Source organism: Homo sapiens, chromosome 6, assembly GCF_000001405.40.
Source record: "Homo sapiens chromosome 6, GRCh38.p14 Primary Assembly".
NCBI classification, from domain to species: domain Eukaryota; kingdom Metazoa; phylum Chordata; class Mammalia; order Primates; family Hominidae; genus Homo; species Homo sapiens.
In genome coordinates, this window is record NC_000006.12 from 22,548,145 (window position 1) to 22,568,909 (window position 20,765).

General features: G+C 35.1%; 1 long non-coding RNA gene across 1 annotated transcript in view; it reads left to right on the top strand.

Annotated features, from left to right (window-relative positions):
- Positions 1-20,765, top strand: part of LOC105374971 (uncharacterized) — a 241,097-nt gene that overhangs the window by 198,927 nt on the left and 21,405 nt on the right. The gene's annotated exons all lie outside the window — the stretch shown is intronic.

Here is a 20,765-nt window from a genome sequence, read left to right on the forward strand (position 1 = left end):
AATCTGTATGTGAACCTGTGAGAGAAGAAACTAATGATCAATATCAAGAATAAAAGGGAAGACATCATCAAAGATCCCTCAGATATTTAAAATATAATACAAGAATATTATAGACACCTTATTTGAAAAAATAGACATTTAGACGAAATGGATAAATTACTAGAAAAATACAGTTTATCACCTCTGAAAGTAGAAGAAAATGCAACTACTATATATTATATATACTAATATAATAAAATCTACAATTAAAATCTTATTCTCTGGTTGCCTCCCAATATATACAATGTCATACTTAATAAATAGCAAAAACCTTAGACATAATTTTCCAGAGAATAAAAAAAGCAAGAGAGATCATTCCAGAAGCTGAATTATTATTAGCAAAGAAATTTTTAGGTCCATCTCCTTCATGAAAATAGATGCTGAAATCTTAATCAAAAGAATACCTCAAAGTGTGGAAAAATCATTTGATAAAATTCAACAACTTTCATGATGAAAACTCTTAATAAACCTAAAACATGTGTTGTGATGGTGTATCTAGATTTTACAAAATAATCTATAAACCATTAGAATGAATATGTGAACTTAAATGGTGGTTTGATAGTGTTATAAAAATAAAAAATATTACTTAGCAGTAAAAAACTATAGAGAATAAAATTTAAAAAGCAATAACATTTTAAAAGGAATCTTAACAAAAGATGCATAAAAATTACAATACACTATTGAGAAAAATTAATATTTAGAAAGACAGAGGAAATTAACATTTCATGCATTGGAGGACTTAATATATTTAAAATGGTATTTCTCCATGAGCTGATATATAGAATTAAGCTCAATCTAAATTTTATATAAATGGAATTAATAATAAAATATATAGGGATTTTAAGTCTGGGTTCTTTCACTCAGCATAATGCATTTGTTATTTATTTATTTTGTCTCGTTTTATCTATATAGTTGTTGTTTATGGTAGGAGGGTAAATCTGGTTGCTGCTACACCATCTTGAACAGAATTAGAAGTCTCTTCTACTGGTATTTTGGTTTTGAAACTTCTACTATTTTCATTGTTATTTTAATCTAGAAACTTTCAGATGTTTAAAATTAATTTAAAATTTTGACTATTCTGCTAAAGTATGATAAAATGAAATGCTTTAACCCCAATTACCCCCTTCTGATTTATATGCTATGTTATTATATGCATTTGATTCCATTGTTTTTATTATCTCTCCAGAGTAGGTATTACTATTATATTTGTTTATATTTACCCAATAAGTAGATACATTTGTGAAGGTCCTTTTTTGGGTATACAATTTTAAAAATGTCTTTACCATCCCTTTTAAATATAATTTATCTGGTATATAATTCTTTCATTGCAACTATTCTGCTTGGGCTTTCTGAATCTGAGTATTCCAGGTCTTCCTCTTTTAAAATGTAGGTATTGCTCAGGAGCTTTTTCTTCAGGAGTTTTATGTTTTCTGTAGAGCTGGAGGATAGAATGTGGTGGAAAGTCGAGAGGAGGAGGGCCCACTTTGCCCCGACATCCCATTTGGATTGGGTGCCATGTTTTTACCTCCTATGCCTCTGTCTGCCATTACAATTTAGATCTGGCAGCTCTCAAGGAAGGTGCTAGTTCCAGAGTTTGTTTACCTCCATTGACTCACACTTTCACCTTTTTTTCTGCCCTCAAAGATTTCCTTTCCTTCCTGTCAGCTAAGCAGAGCATTTAAAGAGATTTTAAAACAAAATCATTTTGGATCAATTTCAGTTTTTGGAAAACTTTCCAGACAAAGTTTCTGGAAGTCCAGTCTGCCTCATTACCAGAAAAGGTATCATGGGAAGAACTTGTGGGTTCTGTTTGTGCACAGGTTTGTTTACCCTATTAGACTATAAACTCTATCCAGGTTGAGACTGTGTTTTAGTCTCAACACAGACTTTGAAAAGAGTAGTTGGGGGAACCATGGTTGACGCAATTTTTGAAAAGGAGTGAGTAGCCAACATTTTAAAATCTAGAGGAGAAATAAGGCATCCAAGAATGAAGACAGGTCATAGGACACAAAAGTTAGGAGGTAATTTTGAAAGAACACTTTCTGAAAGGTGGTAGAGAGAAAAGGTATATAAAGAGGTGAGTGGAGGAGTAAAAGTTAAATGGTAAAGTAACTTTTCCAAATATTATGAGAATAAGGAGTAACGATGATGAGGATGAGAGCTTGACAAGGAAGGATAAGAAAAAAATGTAATATGAGAGATCTTTAATCCAAGCTGAGTGGCAGATCCAATGAAGAGTGAGAAATTAAGCTAGAGGAAGAATAAGTAATTAATGGAACAAGTTCAGAGAGGAGGTAGAAAAAATATGAGATCACGAGAATAGTTAGAATGGTTAGCTTCAAAACAGAACAGAGAAAGAAAGATTGTGTGGACCCATAATTCAGTTAAGAGAGGCAAGAAAGGTTGAGCAAAATATTACCTGTTGGGAACTATGTTCTCATTTATGTATAACGTATTTCTCAAGCACTACATAAAAAGGATTAGAAGCAGCTGGAACATTGGTAAAATGACAAGAAACTGCATCTGAATAACTTAATTGGAACAGCTGCAAGAAAATTTATAGCAATAAATAGTTAACATTGAATTCTGTATGAAACTATAACAAAGAGAAAAAGGCTTGGGGAATAGGTCCATATGACTCAAAAGAAAATATCTAGATTCTCATTTATTTTCACTTAGCACTCCCATTTGAGAAGTGCATAACATTAGTCTTTCATCATGTAATAATAGTAACACCTACCAGGTTATCCTAGGTTTGTTAGGAGTTGTGATTTGAGATATGAAGGCAAAAATTGTGAGTCTCTTCTGAGGCCTGAGTGGAAGCATCTCTGTCCCTCTAATTAGATGGAGGCAAGAGTCAAGACTGAGTTTTGCCTGATTTTCCCAGATGTGGAGACCCAGGGACTCAATGTTGAATTTCAGTGTACAGGGAAACTTCAATACACGGTGCCACATCTGCTGCAAAGATTCTAAATCAGGTCATGAAAAATGTAAGAAGAATTCTTAAATGCGCCAGACCCAGAAAAGATTGATGATTAGATTTCACAACAGACTTCACTAACATTTCAGGTATAATTTACATTTGAATATTTTTTCCTGACACAAAATTTAATATAATATTCAAGTTAAATAATGTCCAAGGCATTCTTTGAATCATTGACAAGAAAGTATATATTTTGTACAGGCCCTTTTCTACCCTTAGATTTTTCACAATTCATTCTTTTAGATAGAAAAGAAATACATGCCCCTGAATATCCACTCACTGAGTCACTGAAAGGCAATGGCCCAATACAAATATTGTAATAAAAGATGAAGCTAAGAAGGACTAAATAAGAAGCAAAGATCAAATGGAAAATGTTCTTTTCAAAATGAAACACTTAGTCCAGGAAAGCCTGGGGTGTCAAACCTTGAACCTGAGAAGAGCTTGGCTCTGAAACCTTGGCTTCTAGTATGAATGTGTCTGCTACTCTCTGGGTGGCTCCATGGGACATATACTTCTGAAGTGTGGAGAAATAAAGAAATTGCAGCCTGAAATGTAGAGCTGTCTGAAGACAATGTCTTGTTCATCAGCCCACTCCAGGTTACCATTATCTAACTTTATTATAATTTCAACCCCAGGACCAGAAACCATACTGCTCTCTTTGGGCCCACTGTGGGGTTCTCTCTGTGGAGCACCCCATTTGATATACACTTACTTTTATGATTATTTCTATTGCAATGCAAGTATTGTGCCCTGGTTGCTCAAAGTATCATCAACTAGCAACTAAATGGACCCTGTTAGTAAATGCCAGGGTAACTAAATCCTCTCAAGGGAAAACAAGCATTATTGTAGAAGGGGATTATTATTTTTTAGGGGAAATAATTATTATCTTTTAGGGGAAAAATGGTTTCATAGAAAGGAGTGGCTGTAATAAGGGTAATGTCAGAGCTGGGATTAACTAGTGGGAAAGAAAGTACTGATTGAGACAGTTCTTGTGTCTATTGTTGTTCCAGACTTTCAGGTGAAGAGGAGGAATTTCAAATTTTAAGGCTATTGAGCATGCATTTTGCACCAAGCACTGCGTTTGTCCTTTACCCTGCATTATCTCTTTTAACTCTCCCTCAAACAAGTGAAAAAATGAGCCACAGAGTTTCGGTAACTTTTCCATAGAGTATTTAAATTCATGTGTGCTTGCAACTTAAGTCAAATCATGTTAATTCTCTGCTTATGATACTCCAGTCATTTCTAGTAACACTTAGGAAAGTAAAATTCAAAGTCCCTACTGTATTCTACAGGGACTTACATTGCCTGGTCTCTGTCTATATCTCTGTCTCTATTTTCTACGATTATGTCCTTCCTGTCTTTAGCCACACGGCCAGCTTTCTATTCTTTGAGCATACAAGCTTGCTTACACACATCATCTTTGCATTTTCTGGTCCCACTGGCTGGAAAGCTTTTCCCCCAGATATCTGCCTAGCCTACTCCAGTCTCTACTCAAACATCTCCTCCTCAGAGAGGGCTTCTCTGCTGCACTATATACAAGAACACACACTACGCCATATCATGCTCAATTCTTTGGCCCTACTTTATTTTTCTTTGAGGCCTTTTCACTGTATGTTATCATATTATACCATAACATATCATATTTTTATTTTATTACATTTTCTACTAGAATGTAAGTAAGCTCTGGGGATGAAGGCATTTTGCTTCATTAGTGCTTAGAACAACATCTGGCTTTAGTAGGTACTCAACAAATGTTGACTATAAGAATAAATTATATGACTGGTTTTCTCTCTGTAGTCTTATGCACTATTTTGGTGCCATAGTAATATTGTTTTATACCTGTTGCTAATGTTTACTGGGTGCTTGTTACATTTGAGGCATGAATTAAGTGTCTTACAAACTTTATTACATTTAATTTTCACCAATGTACTACTTCATTTTATATAAGGGAATTGAGCATTTGCAGAATTTGATATCCACGGGGGTTCTGGAACCAATCCCCTGGGTATACCCGGAGATGACTGTACTCACATAAAGGCAGATGAATGAGAAACTATTATTATTATCCCAATTGTTCATATAACATATGATTCTCACAAAAATTAAATAATAGATCACAAAACGAATAAGTGGAGTAGCTGGGATTTGAAACCAGGTATGTGTGACTCTGGTTCCATCCCTAAAACCACTGTAGACAGTCATGACTGAGTTGTATTAATGATGATTTTACTATATCCATCCCTATTAGGAATCAGTGATCTAGCCCAACTCCTCATACAGACAAGAAACATGGAGGCCTATATTTAAGAATAGGAAACAGAGCAAGATCTAGAGTCTTTATTTCAGTATCTTTTCCTGCACATGCCATATTGGCCTGTGACTAATAAAGAATTTGTTGAAGAATGTTAACTACTAATCAAGAGGGAAAAATATTTAGGTACTTCCTGACAACACTAATCAAAATACCACATTCAGTGGCAAATTCGTAAGGAAAGTATGGAAATTCACATTTGGAAGTGTGAACAATATTTGGATGAAATAAGAATCCTTTAAATATAAACTTGAAATTAACCCACAATATTTGTGAGATTTTAGCACATTCCTGGTTGACACAGGCAGACTCTTGTCAATCAAAAATAGACTTCTGTCCAGTTCATAACCATTTTTAATACATTTAAATAACATGACCCAAATAAATGAGAAACTCACTCCATTGCTTATTTCTTCATAAACAATGTACACCCTTGAAGATGACTATTCTCAGCTGTTGGAGCAAATTTCAATATAGTTTACTCACAGAGGTTGAAAATAGCATCAACATTCTGGTATATTAAAGGATAATCATCATCCAAAGTCATAATATAATGGCTGAACACATAAAAATAAAATATAGATCAGGCACAGTAGCTCCTGCCTGTAATCCTAGCAGTTTGGGAACCCGAGGAGAGAGGATCGCTTGAGATCAGGAGTTCCAGACCAACCTGGACAACATAATGAGACCAGGTTGCTACAAAAGGTAAAAAAAAAAAAAAAAAAAAAAAAAAAAAAAAGCAGGACATGGTGTCATGTGCATGTAGTCTCAGCTACATGGGAGGCTGAGACAGGAGGATTGCTGGAGCCAGTAGGTCAAGTCTGCAGTAAGCTATGGTTGTGCCACAGCACTCCAGCCTGGGTGACAGAGTAAGACCTTGTCTCTATATATTTTTTTAATTCTATTATTATTATACTTTAAGTTTTAGGGTACATGTGCACAACGTGCAGGTTTGTTACATATGTATACATGTGCCATGTTGGTGTGCTGCACCCATTAACTCGTCATTTAGCATTAGGTATATCTCCTAATGCTGTCCCTCCCCGCGTCCTCCACCCCACAACAGTCCCCAGTGTGTGATGTTCCCCTTCCTGTGTCCATGTGTTCTCATCGTTCAATTCCCACCTATGAGTGAGAACATGTGGTGTTTGGTTTTTTGTCCTTGCGATAGTTTGCTGAGAATGATGGTTTCCAGTTTCATCCATCTCCCTACAAAGGACATGATCTCATCATTTTTTATGGCTGCATAGTATTCCATGGTGTATATGTGCCACATTTTCTTAATCCAGTCTATTGTTGTTGGACATTTAGGTTGGTTCCAAGTCTTTGCTATTGTGAATAGTGCCGCTATAAACATATGTGTGCATGTGTCTTTATAGCAGCATGATTTATAATCCTTTGGGTATATACCCAGTAATGGGATGGCTGGGTCAAATGGTATTTCTAGTTCTAGATCCCTGAGGAATCACTACACTGACTTCCACAATGGTTGAACTAGTTTACAGTCCCACCAACAGTGTAAAAGTGTTCCTATTTCTCCACATCCTCTCCAGCACCTGTTGTTTCCTGACTTTTTAATGATCGCCATTCTAACTGGTGTGAGATGGTATCTCATCGTGGTTTTGATTTGCATTTCTCTGATGGCCAGTGATGATGAGCATTTTTCCATGTGTTTTTTGACTGCATAAGTGTCTTCTTTTGAGAAGTGTCTGTTCATATCCTTTGCCCACTTTTTGATGGGGTTGTTTGTTTTTTTCTTGTAAATTTGTTTGAGTTCGTTGTAGATTCTGGATATTAGCACTTTGTCAGATGAGTAGATTGCAAAAATTTTCTCCCATTCTGTAGGTTGCCTGTTCACTCTGATGGTAGTTTCTTTTGCTGTGCAGAAGCTCTTTAGTTTAATTAGTTCCCATTTGTCAATTTTGGCTTTTGTTGCCATTGCTACAGTAACCAAAACAGCATGGTACTCGTACCAAAACAGAGATATAGACCAATGGAACAGAACAGAGCCCTCAGAAATAATGCCACATATCTACAACTATCTGATCTTTGACAAACCTGACAAAAACAAGCAATAGGGAAAGGATTCCCTATTTAATAAATGGTGCTGGGAAAACTGGCTAGCCATATGTAGAAAGCTGAAACTGGATCCCTTCCTTACAACTTATACAAAAATTAATTCAAGATGGATTAAAGACTTACATGTTAGACCTAAAACCATAAAAACCCTAGAAGAAAATCTAGGCAATACCATTCAGGACATAGGCATGGGCGAGGACTTCATGTCTCTATATTTTTTTTAAAAGAATATGGATGGATGAATATATAACTAGACAAAGTTAGGTATTTATACATTTTTATCTCAAGTTTATTATTTTAAATATAAGAGGATTCTCATCCAGGGATTCTCATTTAGCATATTTACTGATTACCTCCCAACATGGCAAAAGTTGAACTTAATGTTAATCTCTGTTCTCTCCTTAACGTACATTAAAATGACCTTTAAAAAGATAAAAGAAGCACAAATACATAAGGAAAAATAGAACTAAAGGAGACATCAGAACACTAAATAGAGATTAGAAGCATGGGGAAATAGACATGTACTAGCTGATTTATGGAACAGAAAAGCCAGCTAAGCCTGCAGAAGGGATGCAAGGGGGGAAAGGAGGCCCAGAAGAAAGCTGGTATTGCAGCAGAATCCCAGGCATGCTCAGGGATTAGATGCAGCTCCTGTAGCTGAAGGTGGGAGTCAGGGCTGTAACCAGGAAGAAAGATGAAAGGCTGAAATAAAAAAGCCTTTCGACCCCCAGATGATCTGTCTAGAATTATGAGTCCAGTGACCATCCTTCCTCTACTCCAGCAGATGCCTGGACATTTGCCATGGACCAAGTTGACCTAGGTGGGCTCTGGATTTAGAGGAGGATTTAGAGCATTCTAAATCCTTCCCCTGTCTTGCAAGGGCTGGAAACTTGGACCTGCTTCAGGAAGTCCTTGCCAGCCAAACTCTGGATTAGATTCAACAGCAAGAGACATTTGCCCATGATCTGGCAGGCTGCTGAGACCTGTATGATTATAAGGGCTAATCAGTTTTTGGGTCTGGATTGAGACTTCACAGTGGCCTTTGAATGTCTCACTGAAAATCTCCCACCGCAGGTCTGGAAAGAGCTGCAGCTCCTCAGGCTCCTAGATTCCCTGAAATCTAGTGGAGGAATTCACTAGATGGTTGTCCTTCCTCTAGCCCTTTTTATGATGTTTAAACACCTAATTTCTGCATTAAATCACTCTCTACTCATAGTACCTCAAGTAGTTTTCGTATCCCAAAGAAATTTTCACAAAGGAGGTAAACAAGAAGAATTTCCATTAGAGCACTTGTGTGTGCCTGCATGTGTGCGTTAGTAGAGAATTGGAGGCGATCCAAGTGTTTGTCACTAGAGGAATTAAGTAAAACATTGCGTGTGTAGTGATACATGTATCAGCTGGAAACACACTATACCTATATACTCAGATATATCATAAGGATGTAGTATTTAGTGAAAACGAGATGAAATGAGATTGATAGTACACTACCTTTAAATAAAGGAAAGCATGAAGACAGACAAGACAATACTGCACATTTTACAAGGAAGCTGTAGCATAGTACATTGTAATGGTGTATCAATCAGAGAGAAGCAGATGGGAGTTAGGACCAAGTGTGGATGCTGCCACTTGTACAGCCCAATAATAATGACGCAATCAACCGAGGGCTAAAATTCTCCTCACCTTCAGTCTGTTTCCCTCTCATGCTTCCACACCCCATCCCCCTGCCCCCGCCACCCACTACTGCAACACACACACGCGATGAACTGAAATTTGGCATCCACTTTGGAACTGTTGTCTACTGTTGGTTGAGTCCAGGGTTGATCTGAGACCATGGCAGTGCCCATGGCAGTGAGAATCAAAAGGAAGGATTAGATAAGAATATTTTTAGCTGTAAGCTCATTGAAGACAGGGATTTTATTTAATTAATCATTGTCGTTCCTGTGCCTATAGGTGCTCAATAAATTTATATGTAACTGAACTCAACAAAAATTAACCTACATTCTACCACAGTTTAGGTACCAGGAGCAAAGTTCCATAAATTGAAGCAAATCGTAAACAGTCTCAGGTCTCTCTTGTTAGCACTACTGCATCAATAGTGGATAGTGAGCAGTGAAAAGCCAGCTTTTCAGCTGCTTTAATTTCCACAATGATAGTGTCAAGTGCAGGGACATAAAGTTGGCCATCGGCTTGCTTCCTGAGCTCCAGCTTCTACATGGCTACCTGGAGAAAGGCTGAATGGGTGGGGTGAGGTGGGCAGAGTCAGAACTCTGAGCAATGTTTCAAATCTACAGCAGCCAGATCTGGAATGAGAGGACTCAGTCAATGATCACTCAAGAAACAGAGTTATTTTTCATGGACTTTAAATAATCTTAATATTAGAATGACCCAGAACTTTAGGTAATTAGGGAATTCCTCTGATTATTTAGGAAAATCAAGTCACTGCACAGAAGGTGTCTCTGTAAAACTAGTGTTCAATAAAATAAGTTGCCAATTATAACAAAGGTCAAGAAATATAGTGTATATATATTTACATTTACACTTGTATACTCTCTCTCTCTTGCATACACAAACACACACACACACGTAATTCATGGACTTGACCCAGAGAACACTTGCTCTTACAAACAGCTTTATTGCTTAATTTGTAATTAGGTCCTGTTTGCCCATGTGTGTGGCATTAACATAAATTGATAGAGAGAAGCACCAGGTGCATTCAATTAAAAGAGCTTTAAAGAGAGGTATCCTGTTTTACACTTAGTTGCATTTTCAAAATATATTTAACAGGTTTATTCCAATGTCAGAGTTGCAATAAATAGAAGTCAAGCTGACTTAAAACAGACATGTCTTGTGGGTTAATCCTGTCTCCTGATTTCCATCACCTACTTTGAAGCTATTCAGTCATCCATTTGCAGACCCTGCCAAAACCTGTGTCAGAAGCCTGCAGTTGCTCTTGTCCATGCAGTAGAAGAGCTATAATGTTTTTCTTCAGTTTGAGATTTTATTAGTCTGAGTCAAGCTAAACATTAGAACTAATAAAGCACAGGCGCAATTATCTCCACTGTTATTTCTGTAAAATGGCTGAATGGACTAAGGTGCAGTGTGAGTCAGAGAAACTTAAACAGAGGCATTAAGTAAACTGTGGGCCTAGTTATGAATGTCTTGCCTTTTGTCACTATTCACTTGCTGGCTCTTGGCATGTATGATGAACCCCTAGGAAGTGCCCTGAGTAGCAGGAATCAGAGATATGTTAGAACATTATGCAGTGCAATCATTTTTAGACTTTTCCAAAGCTATGAAAAGTTTATGAAGTAGCTTAAAGCTGCAAACTCAGGCACAGAGGGAAGGTAAAATACACTTAGATTAGATACTGAAGATCTGTGGGTAATGAGTCAATACTGATCCAATTAGTTGTTACTAATACTTTCCTCAAAGAATATTCCTTTAAATTCCATATACACAACTTGCAGTCTTAATATTTCTTAGAGGACACAGACATACATACATTTTCACCTTTTGCACTAGCTTCAAATTTGGGTGATTCCTCAGACAAACATTTACTTAAGATTGCTAGGAAGGAGCAGTCTCATTTGATTATTTTCTCTCAATATTGCCACTTAATTATGCACTAGGAGCACTATAATTTAGCATACCATGGACCGAATGTTTATGCCCTCTTAAATCCATATGTTGAAATCTAATCCCCAATACGATGACATTTGGAGGTAGGGACATTGGGGAGATGTTATTTGGAGGTGGGGGTTTGGTAGGTAAATGGGATTATTACCCTTATAAAAAGGTCCCCCATGGGCTCCCTTGCCATGTGAAAATGTGCAGACACAGTGGGAAGACAGAAGTCTATGGAGTGAGCTCTCACCAGACACCAAAATCTGCTAGTGCCTCAATCTTGGACTTCCCAGCCTTCAGAACGGTGAGGAGTACATTTTTATTGTTTGTAAGACACCCAGATTATGGTATTTTGTTACAGCTACCCAAATGATTGACATACTGTCATTGTAGCCCTCAAAAACCACTGATGATATGTACATACACTACATCTTCAAGGCACACAATAAAGTGAATCTGTAAAGAAGATAGCAGATTAATTATTATTAATAAAATGCATAAAGTCATTGTCTTCAATCTTATACATTCTTTAAGAAAAATATCAATTGCTGACACATCTAAAGTCTCCCTGATTATTTTTGTGTAAATACCTGCCTGTTTTTGTGTTTCCGAGAATCTGTTTTGTTTTCTCTAATTATTTTATGCATAGAATCTTTGTCCTCAACTTGCAAACTGACAAGGAAAGGGGTATGCATGACATTTTATAACTACCTGCTGCCTAGTTAAGATGTTGTAAATTCATGCTTTGCAACATTCTCTTTCTGATCCAACACATAGCAAAAGCAGATGAAATATAAAAGATACAATTAAATAACTTAGAAATAGTAACGTATTGATAAGCTAGAATGGAATGAAATACAAAATGTTAAGAGAAACTAATACTGCAAGGTCTGTTGGTATCAGAGCTTGGAATCAAGCAGAGATGACAAAGTATTCTGGATTCTATAAGATAGAAAGAAATAAGGTCCCTCACATGCAGAGGGGAACTAGAGTTGGCCTCACTGCTGGTCTCATGTTGGGCCAGTGTGGAACTTTCTGACACTGAAGAGGAGGCTGAAAAAAGCCCTGATTTACTAATTTTGGGTGGTACCACGTTTACAGTGCTACCTTTTATAGAGGTACAAAGAAGCAGACAATCTTGCAGCCAGGGAACCTTGAGCCAAGCTATCAGTTGGCAGCAGGAAATGAAATGATAGATTAAATTAAAAGAAGAGAAAAATATCAATAGTAGTTTTAAAATAAATATGTTCAGAAAATCTGAAAGGGTAAAAAATGAATAAATCCATAAAAGGAACAAGAAATTATGAACTAAAGCAGATTAAATGAAATAATAAAAGGTAAACATAAAAATAGAAATTCTTAAAGTGAAAAGTATTGTTATTGAAATAATAAATGGGACAACCTCTAAGACAGAAAGAATAAATAAATAGGAATACAGTTTTGAGAAATTCTACTATATATAGCAGTATATAGAGAGGGTTAAAACATGAATTATAGATTGAGATAATTTAATATACATATATAAGTGTTCTAAAAGGAGACAATTGAGTAAATATCTAGATATACTGCAGTATGTTAAGAATAAAGAAAAGCTTGATAGTTGGAAAACTGAAAGACATAATACCAGAAAAGGAATAACTGTTGCACTGAGGATAGACTTCTCAGCAGCAACAAAGGATGCTAGAAGACAGTGGAATAATTCCTTCACATGCTTAAAACAATACATTTTGAATATGTGTTATATACTCAGCTAATATATTATTTAAGAGTGAAGTTAGAATAAATACATTTTTAGCCACATAAGGCTAAGTGAATTCCACTACTCCATAATTTCTTTTGTCTTTCTTTTTTGAGGTGGAATCTTGCTTTGTCACCCAGGCTAGCATGCAGTGGCACAATCTCAGCTCACTGCAACCTCCACTTCCTGGATTCAGGCAATTCTCCTGCCTCAGCCTCCGGAGTAGCTGGGATTACAGGCATGCGCCACCATGCCTGGCTACTTTTTGTATTTTTAGTAGAGACAGGGTTTCACCATGTTGGCCAGGCTGGTCTTGAACCCCAACCTCAGGTGATCCGCCCACCTCAGCCTCCCAAAGTGCTGCAATTACAGGCGTCAGCCACCACGCCCAGCCATCCATAATTTCAGGAAGACAGTTACTGATATATTTCCTTCATCAAAAATAAAGGAAGGATATGTAAGACATAATAATAAATTAATGATAAAATTGTGAATAAATTTAATAAACTAATTATAAAAAATAAATGTTATATAATATAAAAGAGAAAAAATAAAATTTTAGACAAAGAGTGTGGTGTTGGGATTATTTTATAAAAGCTAAAGTCTTTAGAGTTAGCTAGAAAAATTTATAGTTAAGTGTGTATGTTAAAGAATATAATTGCTAAAGGAAGAAAGTTATACCCTTCAAACTAATAAAGGAAAAGCACAAATAATAATAATGTAACAATGGTAATGATGATGAAAGAAATTTGATCAATACACAAGAAGATAGGAAAGCAGGGAGAAAAAAAATCCTACAAAGTTATGGTGAACCAAAACAAAAAATGAGATGGTAGACATTGAATTTATCACAAAATGTTATTAAAAAGACTAAATTCTCCTGATAAGAGATTATACTGAAAGCAATCTTCCTATGTATTGGTTTCAGAAATGTAACTTTTAAAAATGACATTAGAAAGTTAAAATTAAGGATCCATAACACTCAAATACTAATCACAAAAAGCTGCTAAAGCACATTAATACCAGACAAGGTAGAATTTAAGGCAAAAACATTTGCTGAGACAATTATTTCATTCTAATAAAATGAAGAATCTAAAGGGAGTAGAATACAATAATAAAACTATGTATTTACTTAGCAATATAGCCTTGAAATGCATAAAACAGAAACAAACCTGATTCAAAGGAAATTGAAAAATCCACATATATTATGGATTTTGCTAAAATCTTAACATTTATATCAGAAATAGATAAAGCAGATTAAAAATCAGCAGGCATACAGAAGTATGTAACAAAATAATAAGCTTTTTGATTTTTATTGATTATATAAATTTGAAAATGATATGAATGAATTAGAAAATAGATCACATAGCAGATCATCAATAATGTTTTTAAAAAATAAAGAATTGACATAACACAGACCACTTGGTATGATGATTGGTTAAAATATTCTATACTCATGATGTCTCTCCCATAGCGCTTAAGTCTCTATCAAGCACATAAGCACTCACATGTTAATGTATAACCTGAAGTGGTGTCCTAAAGAATGTATTATATTCTAGATTTCATTCAATTTTTGCTGTTTTCTACACACGTAGCCAAAAATTTCTTGTCAATTTATAGCAGTCTTACAAGGCAAACTGAAGAAAAAATGAGAAAACTGAACAAAGCCAAATTAGTCTTGCACAATATTAAAAAGCCATATGCTTTTATTCTTTCAGTTTTTTTTCAGTTTTGTTGAAAATGTGGGAGGCAACTAAAATTAGTAAAGATAAAATAACTAAATTTACTATTTCAAAATTGTAATTGACCAAAGCATTATTCATTATTTACATCAAATTGTTCAACTTCATATGTAAGCAGTTTTTATTTATCTGTTCAATAAAAACTTTTATCGATTTTGTTGTTCTGAAAGGGAAAAAGGCATGGTCAGCTATCATGAAACCAGATGGTGGCTGGTAAAAAAATCTCAGAATATATGTCACTTTATGAACTTAAAAAAATTATCTTACATGGTTACAGATTACAGTTATAAATAGCCTAGGAGAAAAAGAAAGGCTGATCATTTTTAAATGAATTCGACATTTTATCTACAGTGTTTACATTGGAGAGATTTCATGTCTACATCAACATTGTTTGATGTGTGGTTAACATCATTTTGCCTTTATAAATCCTATGCCAATCATATATCGTCAGTTTCATTATTGTTCTACTTGGTACTTTTTATTCTAAGACACAGAGGCTCACTCACACATCTTAAGACAAAAGGTTTTTAATGTAAAGATGTATATATGCTGAACTCAAATTGTAACTGAAAAAACTTTGGAAATGAAAGCTGCTCTAGGGACTGACAGTTTTCTCCTCTCTTTTGTGATCCTTATAGTAATTTACAGCTCCTGACAGTTCTACGTTTTTTGTATCTGCTTCACTCTTCTCTCTTCATTCTTCCCTCAACCAACGTCTCTGGTTGGCTGTATTTCCTCAATGAATTATGCTTATAATAAATAAGTGGGCAGGGCAAAAAAAAATGGGGGGAGCAAAGGCAATATAGCAAAGGGTTTCAAGAATTAATTGGGAAAGTAGATATAAAATGCTTGTATAAGTTTGCAACATATAATACATGCTTAATAAATGATAGTCAAAAATTATCAGCTCTATTGTAATTTTAGTCATTATGATATATTCTCATTAAGGTTAGACTTTGAGAAGCAGGAACAGAGTATGGGTTATGTCTGATTGTTGAACAGCAAAGACTATAAAACTATATCCAAAATGTTTTATTTCAGTATTTCAGTTTTACAAGCATCAAACATACTACAGTTTTTCTAAGAAAGAAGTTTTTTCACCATCAAGAGTGACCAAAATGAGAAGTGGTTACAATATTTGTTCAGAAAGTCACTGTTTGTGTTATTTAGAAAATCTTATTAAGGGACTTAAAAGTGTGTGTTCATCATTGGTTCATTTGAAAAATGAACAAACTCTAAAAGAGAGAGGCATTGGTTGTTGAGGATTTCACTGAGCTCAATGATGATTTAGCACAGTTATTTTAAATTTCTACTTCTCTGATTTTCTTTTACTTGGTCTCTAGTCTATTACGTATGAGTTTTTGAATTTATATAAAAGTACTAAACTTCCTAAAGTATTTATTTCAACAAATAATATACATGCTACCTACTACAGAACAATCCTAAACTATTTTGAAAGCTACAAACAGCCTTTCCCTCACAATGTTTGACAAGAGAAAGCCATTTACCTTCAATAAACTTTTGGTAAAGATAGATAACTAGCAACTCAATGCCTATACCCTTAAGCCAAAGTTACTTAAAAATTTAAGAGATTTCCAATAATAAAATAGAAAAAAATTATTAGTAAAAATTATCTTCAAAATATCATTTTCAGTAATTCAAAATTAGACATTTTAGTTAAAAATTCCCACCTTTTCATTACCATGCACCTGTTGATGATTTCTTTAAATGGAAATAGTATAAATTACTTATTTCTGAAGTTTAATAATTTGGTAATTATTTCGAAAGCTAGAAAACCATTGGAAGAGTAAGAGACAATTGAGACAATTGGGTTTTTGAGGTTATATCCTCAAAAACTTGAGCATGGCTTTCTAAAAGCTTTGATCATTTTAAGCATTTACATGACAACTTAATGTAATGGCAAGCAATACAAAATTGAAATTGCAAAACTGAGTTTCATATTTCCTTGTAAACATGACTTTGTTGATCTTGGGTCTTTCAAACTGTGCTTTTAATGCAACAACACAGCCCCTCCAAAAAGTAAGAAAAAAGTATATGCCTATTATAAAATTAGAGAAACAAGCTAAATTCTGAACCAGAAACAATTTGTAGAAAACAACAACAGCAAAAATAGTAACAACAAAAATATATATTACGTAATGAAAAAAAATAAACTAAGAAAATAGAGCAGGTACTGGCTATTTTAAGAGCTAATAGTAATCGAGCACTTGATAGTCGCAAGCATCACGTTTAACGCCCACTGTCCTGTTTATTTCAAATAGCCTTTCTCTCAAATGGGTCCTAGAATTAGCCACATGTTAAATTTAAGGAACATGATTTCATATAAGCGCATAAATTACATATGCTATATATTTTATCCAGTCTCTTTATTCGAATTGCAAGCATTTTCCAAGTCACTAAATTTTGCTTTAAAAACCTTACAGAGTATGGCCATCTAATCAGGTAATTATTATGTAAATAGATGTTATCTGCATCTAATCCCCAATTACTGAATACTCACCAGCATTGATAACTATTATTTGTTTAAACTTTGCTAGTTATATAAATAACTCATACATTTTCATGTAGGAGGCTTGAATAAATATCATCACACAAAATTAGCAAAGTATTCATATTATTTAAACACACTTTATTTAAATTTTTTCCCAAAGAATAAGTTTCAGAATCTTTAAGCCCTCAAATAAGAATAATGAAATAGAATTATTCATTACCAGCCACTTTTCTTAATCTTGGAGTGCCGATTTTCCTTCCATGGCCAATAAAACAGAAGTTTTGCAAACAATTCCAATCTCTCCAAAGGCCCCCTTCCTACACACCAACCAAACCAAGTCATCACATTCATGGTTGGCCAAGGGGGGCCCAATTGCACACATATACCACCTGGAAAATCTGCACTCTCATGTCTCCCTCCTCAAAGTCCATTATCAAAGGCAAGTTCAGATTTTATTCACTTCAAATTGATGATGATAATATGTACCCACAAAAATTAAAAATAAAAATGAAAAATATTTAAAAATTGATGATGATATAGCTCCTTGGGAACATCCCTTAAATTACTCTTTGGCTCCTAGAACATCCTCATTGATACTGAATTTATTTCCACTCTGAGCAGTTGCCTGTATTGCAGAAATCCCTGAGGCTTTAAAGGCTAGGCTAAGTGGACATGGATGAAATGTAGAGGTGACAAAATATAGAGGTAGCAGACATCCTGCGACTTTTTAAAAAAGAACAGTGGGGGAATTTCTACCCATGGTGGAGGGGAGGACTTACCCTGTACAATTATGTCTGCTAGAACATTTTAAAAAGAAAAGCCTTGATCTCAAATACCAACCATGTATAAACATTCTATTGCATAAACCCAGAGGCAGTTAATATTTTTAATGAAGACAAAAGCACACAGAAAACAATCACATTTCTCTTAAATCATAATTTACACCAAACTAATTGAATTTAAAAGTAACTAAACAAGAAAACATCAATTAGATATCTATTCTCTCTCTTGTATAATTACGTTGTTTTATTGCCCATGTTTCATAATTGTTGCCAAACAGCTTTTAAATCCTATCATTAGTTTTCCAGAAAAGGGGAATGAGAAGTGTTATATGTTTTGGACTCTAAGGTTTTGTTTTGATAGGTATGCTGCCACTGAAATTAGGTCCTCTTGACAAACAGGTGTTCGCGGTACACATGATTTTTAAAACATCCTTACCTATTAGAACAGTTATACTCATGGAGTTCTAGTTACTGAAAATTAATCATTGCAGTGGCTCATGAGTACTTTGTTTATATACTAGCTAAATCTAAACCAAACCAAGTCATCATGAATGTATCCTCTCTACTCTCCTCACTTTGAGCAAGAGAAACGATAGCTTTAACAGCAAGTTGGTTTCAAAGGTAAAAGAAGCCAAGATCACTCCACTTAATTGCATCCTTGAAAATGTAGGAATAGAAGAAAGGATGTATCTGTGAAAGTGGTCTCCATGAAACTCTATTTAAACGGTTGCTTCTTCTCAACCTTCCTCCCATTTTCCCTTTTCTAATGGTAGAATAAACTACCATTAGGTGATAAATTTAATTAGAGAACACTGTTTTACAAGATCATATTTCCAAGTAACAAAAACTTTTATGTCAGTTTCATACAAAAGATGTGCTGGATATATAATTCTGTATATAATATGTAATTCAGCTGGTGGGGACTTTTCTTCGGTGCCCTTATTCATGACTCTCTATTCCTTTGGATATATCTTTTTCCTCAATTAGCCTAATGCTAATAATAGCCTAATCCATAATAAAAGTCAACTTCACACTTATTGGCACATCATAGACCTTCATAGCCATCTTCTGGGCTTTCATGTCCATAATCCCATTAATATTTGTAATGATCCTGAAAGAAATTCTGAGTATTAAGTTAAATATCTTGAAATCATGTAGCAGAGGTTCACAAAGATTATATTAACTCCTGGCCTTACAAAGCTGGCAAACAAGTGAGAAATGCCAGAATTGTTTTTATTCTATCTCCTACTACCCCTTCCGTAGGCCTCCCCTAATAACCACACTCTCATTGATTTCTCCTGGAATTCTTTGGGTATTTAAGAACACACAATTTAGCATCTGAAGGCTAGCTTGTATTGTTCTGTAATGAACTCATCCGGGCTTTTTCTCTTAAACGAGATTTTAATCTCCTCAAAGGTAAACATCTTTTGTGCCAGCCTTTCAGCATCACACTATATTAGTGGGCAAGGGTGGAGGCACAAGATCTACTTGGGGAACAACACTTCTTTGCTTAATAGAATCTGTACTGTTGTTTGCAGACGTAGATCCTTCTCTACTAGATCTTTTTGCCTTTGCTTCCTGCTATACTTTTTATCTCAGTTTTCCATAGGTTTTGGTTATTGCTCTAACCCTTAGATCCCCAGTCCTGCCTTCACACCCTCATACTTGTTCACCTGCTGTAGTTCAACCACCCAACTATTGATGTTGGCTTTTTCTAGTGAGGCACCTTTGCCACCTTCAGCTTCAGCAGCTGGCTTTTAGAACCGGTCCTGCCTTCAGATTGAGCTGATGGTACAACTAAATACCTCTTCTAGACATGCTATCTAGCTAGATTTTTTTCCTACTTCAGCAACCTTCATACATGATATGTGCATTGGTACAGCATACTTACCTGAAAAATAATGGCCACATATAGCAATATCTCTGCTTACAGAAATTCCAAATTCCTTCCTATTATGGGCTCCATAGCTACCTATTATTTCCTATTTTCTTCTACAGCCACTAAACATTTCTAGTTTTCTAGCACTTTCCCTGTAAAACTGAGAGGAGGGAACTTGTCATATTCATCTTTGTAGCAGGATGTTGATTTGTAAACGAAGTGTTGATGCATTGTTGATGTTACTTATTTAATAAAGGTATAATAGATATTAGCAGGGCAGATAGGCATTCTAAGAAAATGGCTTGACATAAGAGCTGAAAGAACTTGTTTAGAATTTTAGAATTATCAAAGGGCTTCATGTTCATTTCACCTTGTTAGGGAGAGGATATCTCCTTTTGCCTAGAGCATGTCTCAACCATTCAGAGTTAAAATGGCTGTTCCAGCCCAGCAAATGGGAAACAAATTTGAGTTTTACTGAAATGGGTTAAGGGCTCTAATTCTCGTCTAGTGTGTTGGTTACACTGGGAAGGAACATCTGTCTAGTTATAATAGTCAAGAGTACCGGTATGATAAATTTGGGTAGGTTTCAGAGTGCTTGCTCACAGCTAGCAAGGAGGATCCAAAAAAGATGCAGAAAGTTGTGTAAACAACTGCAATTGCACTGACACTTTCATTCATATGTTTAGAAGAGACATATCTGAAGAAAATTCTTTTTAAAATAGTTTCTCAGCTGAGATTATACTTTTTTAGTGTGTAGCTCACAGGAAGTTCTAGTTGCCAAGAGCATGTTCGATATGAGTAGATCTCTACCTAATTCTTATGCATAATGAACCCAATTTTCATCTCTTCTAGAAAGATACTGAAAACATGTGTCGTGATCTCAATGTTACAACCATGTAGCCTCATCTTTCACAATACGGTACAATCACCAACGAAGTTTAAACTTCATGTCTGGCATCCAAGGTGAACATTTCCATAGAAAGTAGGAAATATTTAGATGTCTGTTTGCCGTGGTGGTGGTGTTCCTATATACTTTTTGTGACCCTAAAGATATAATAATGTTTGACATTTTTGTT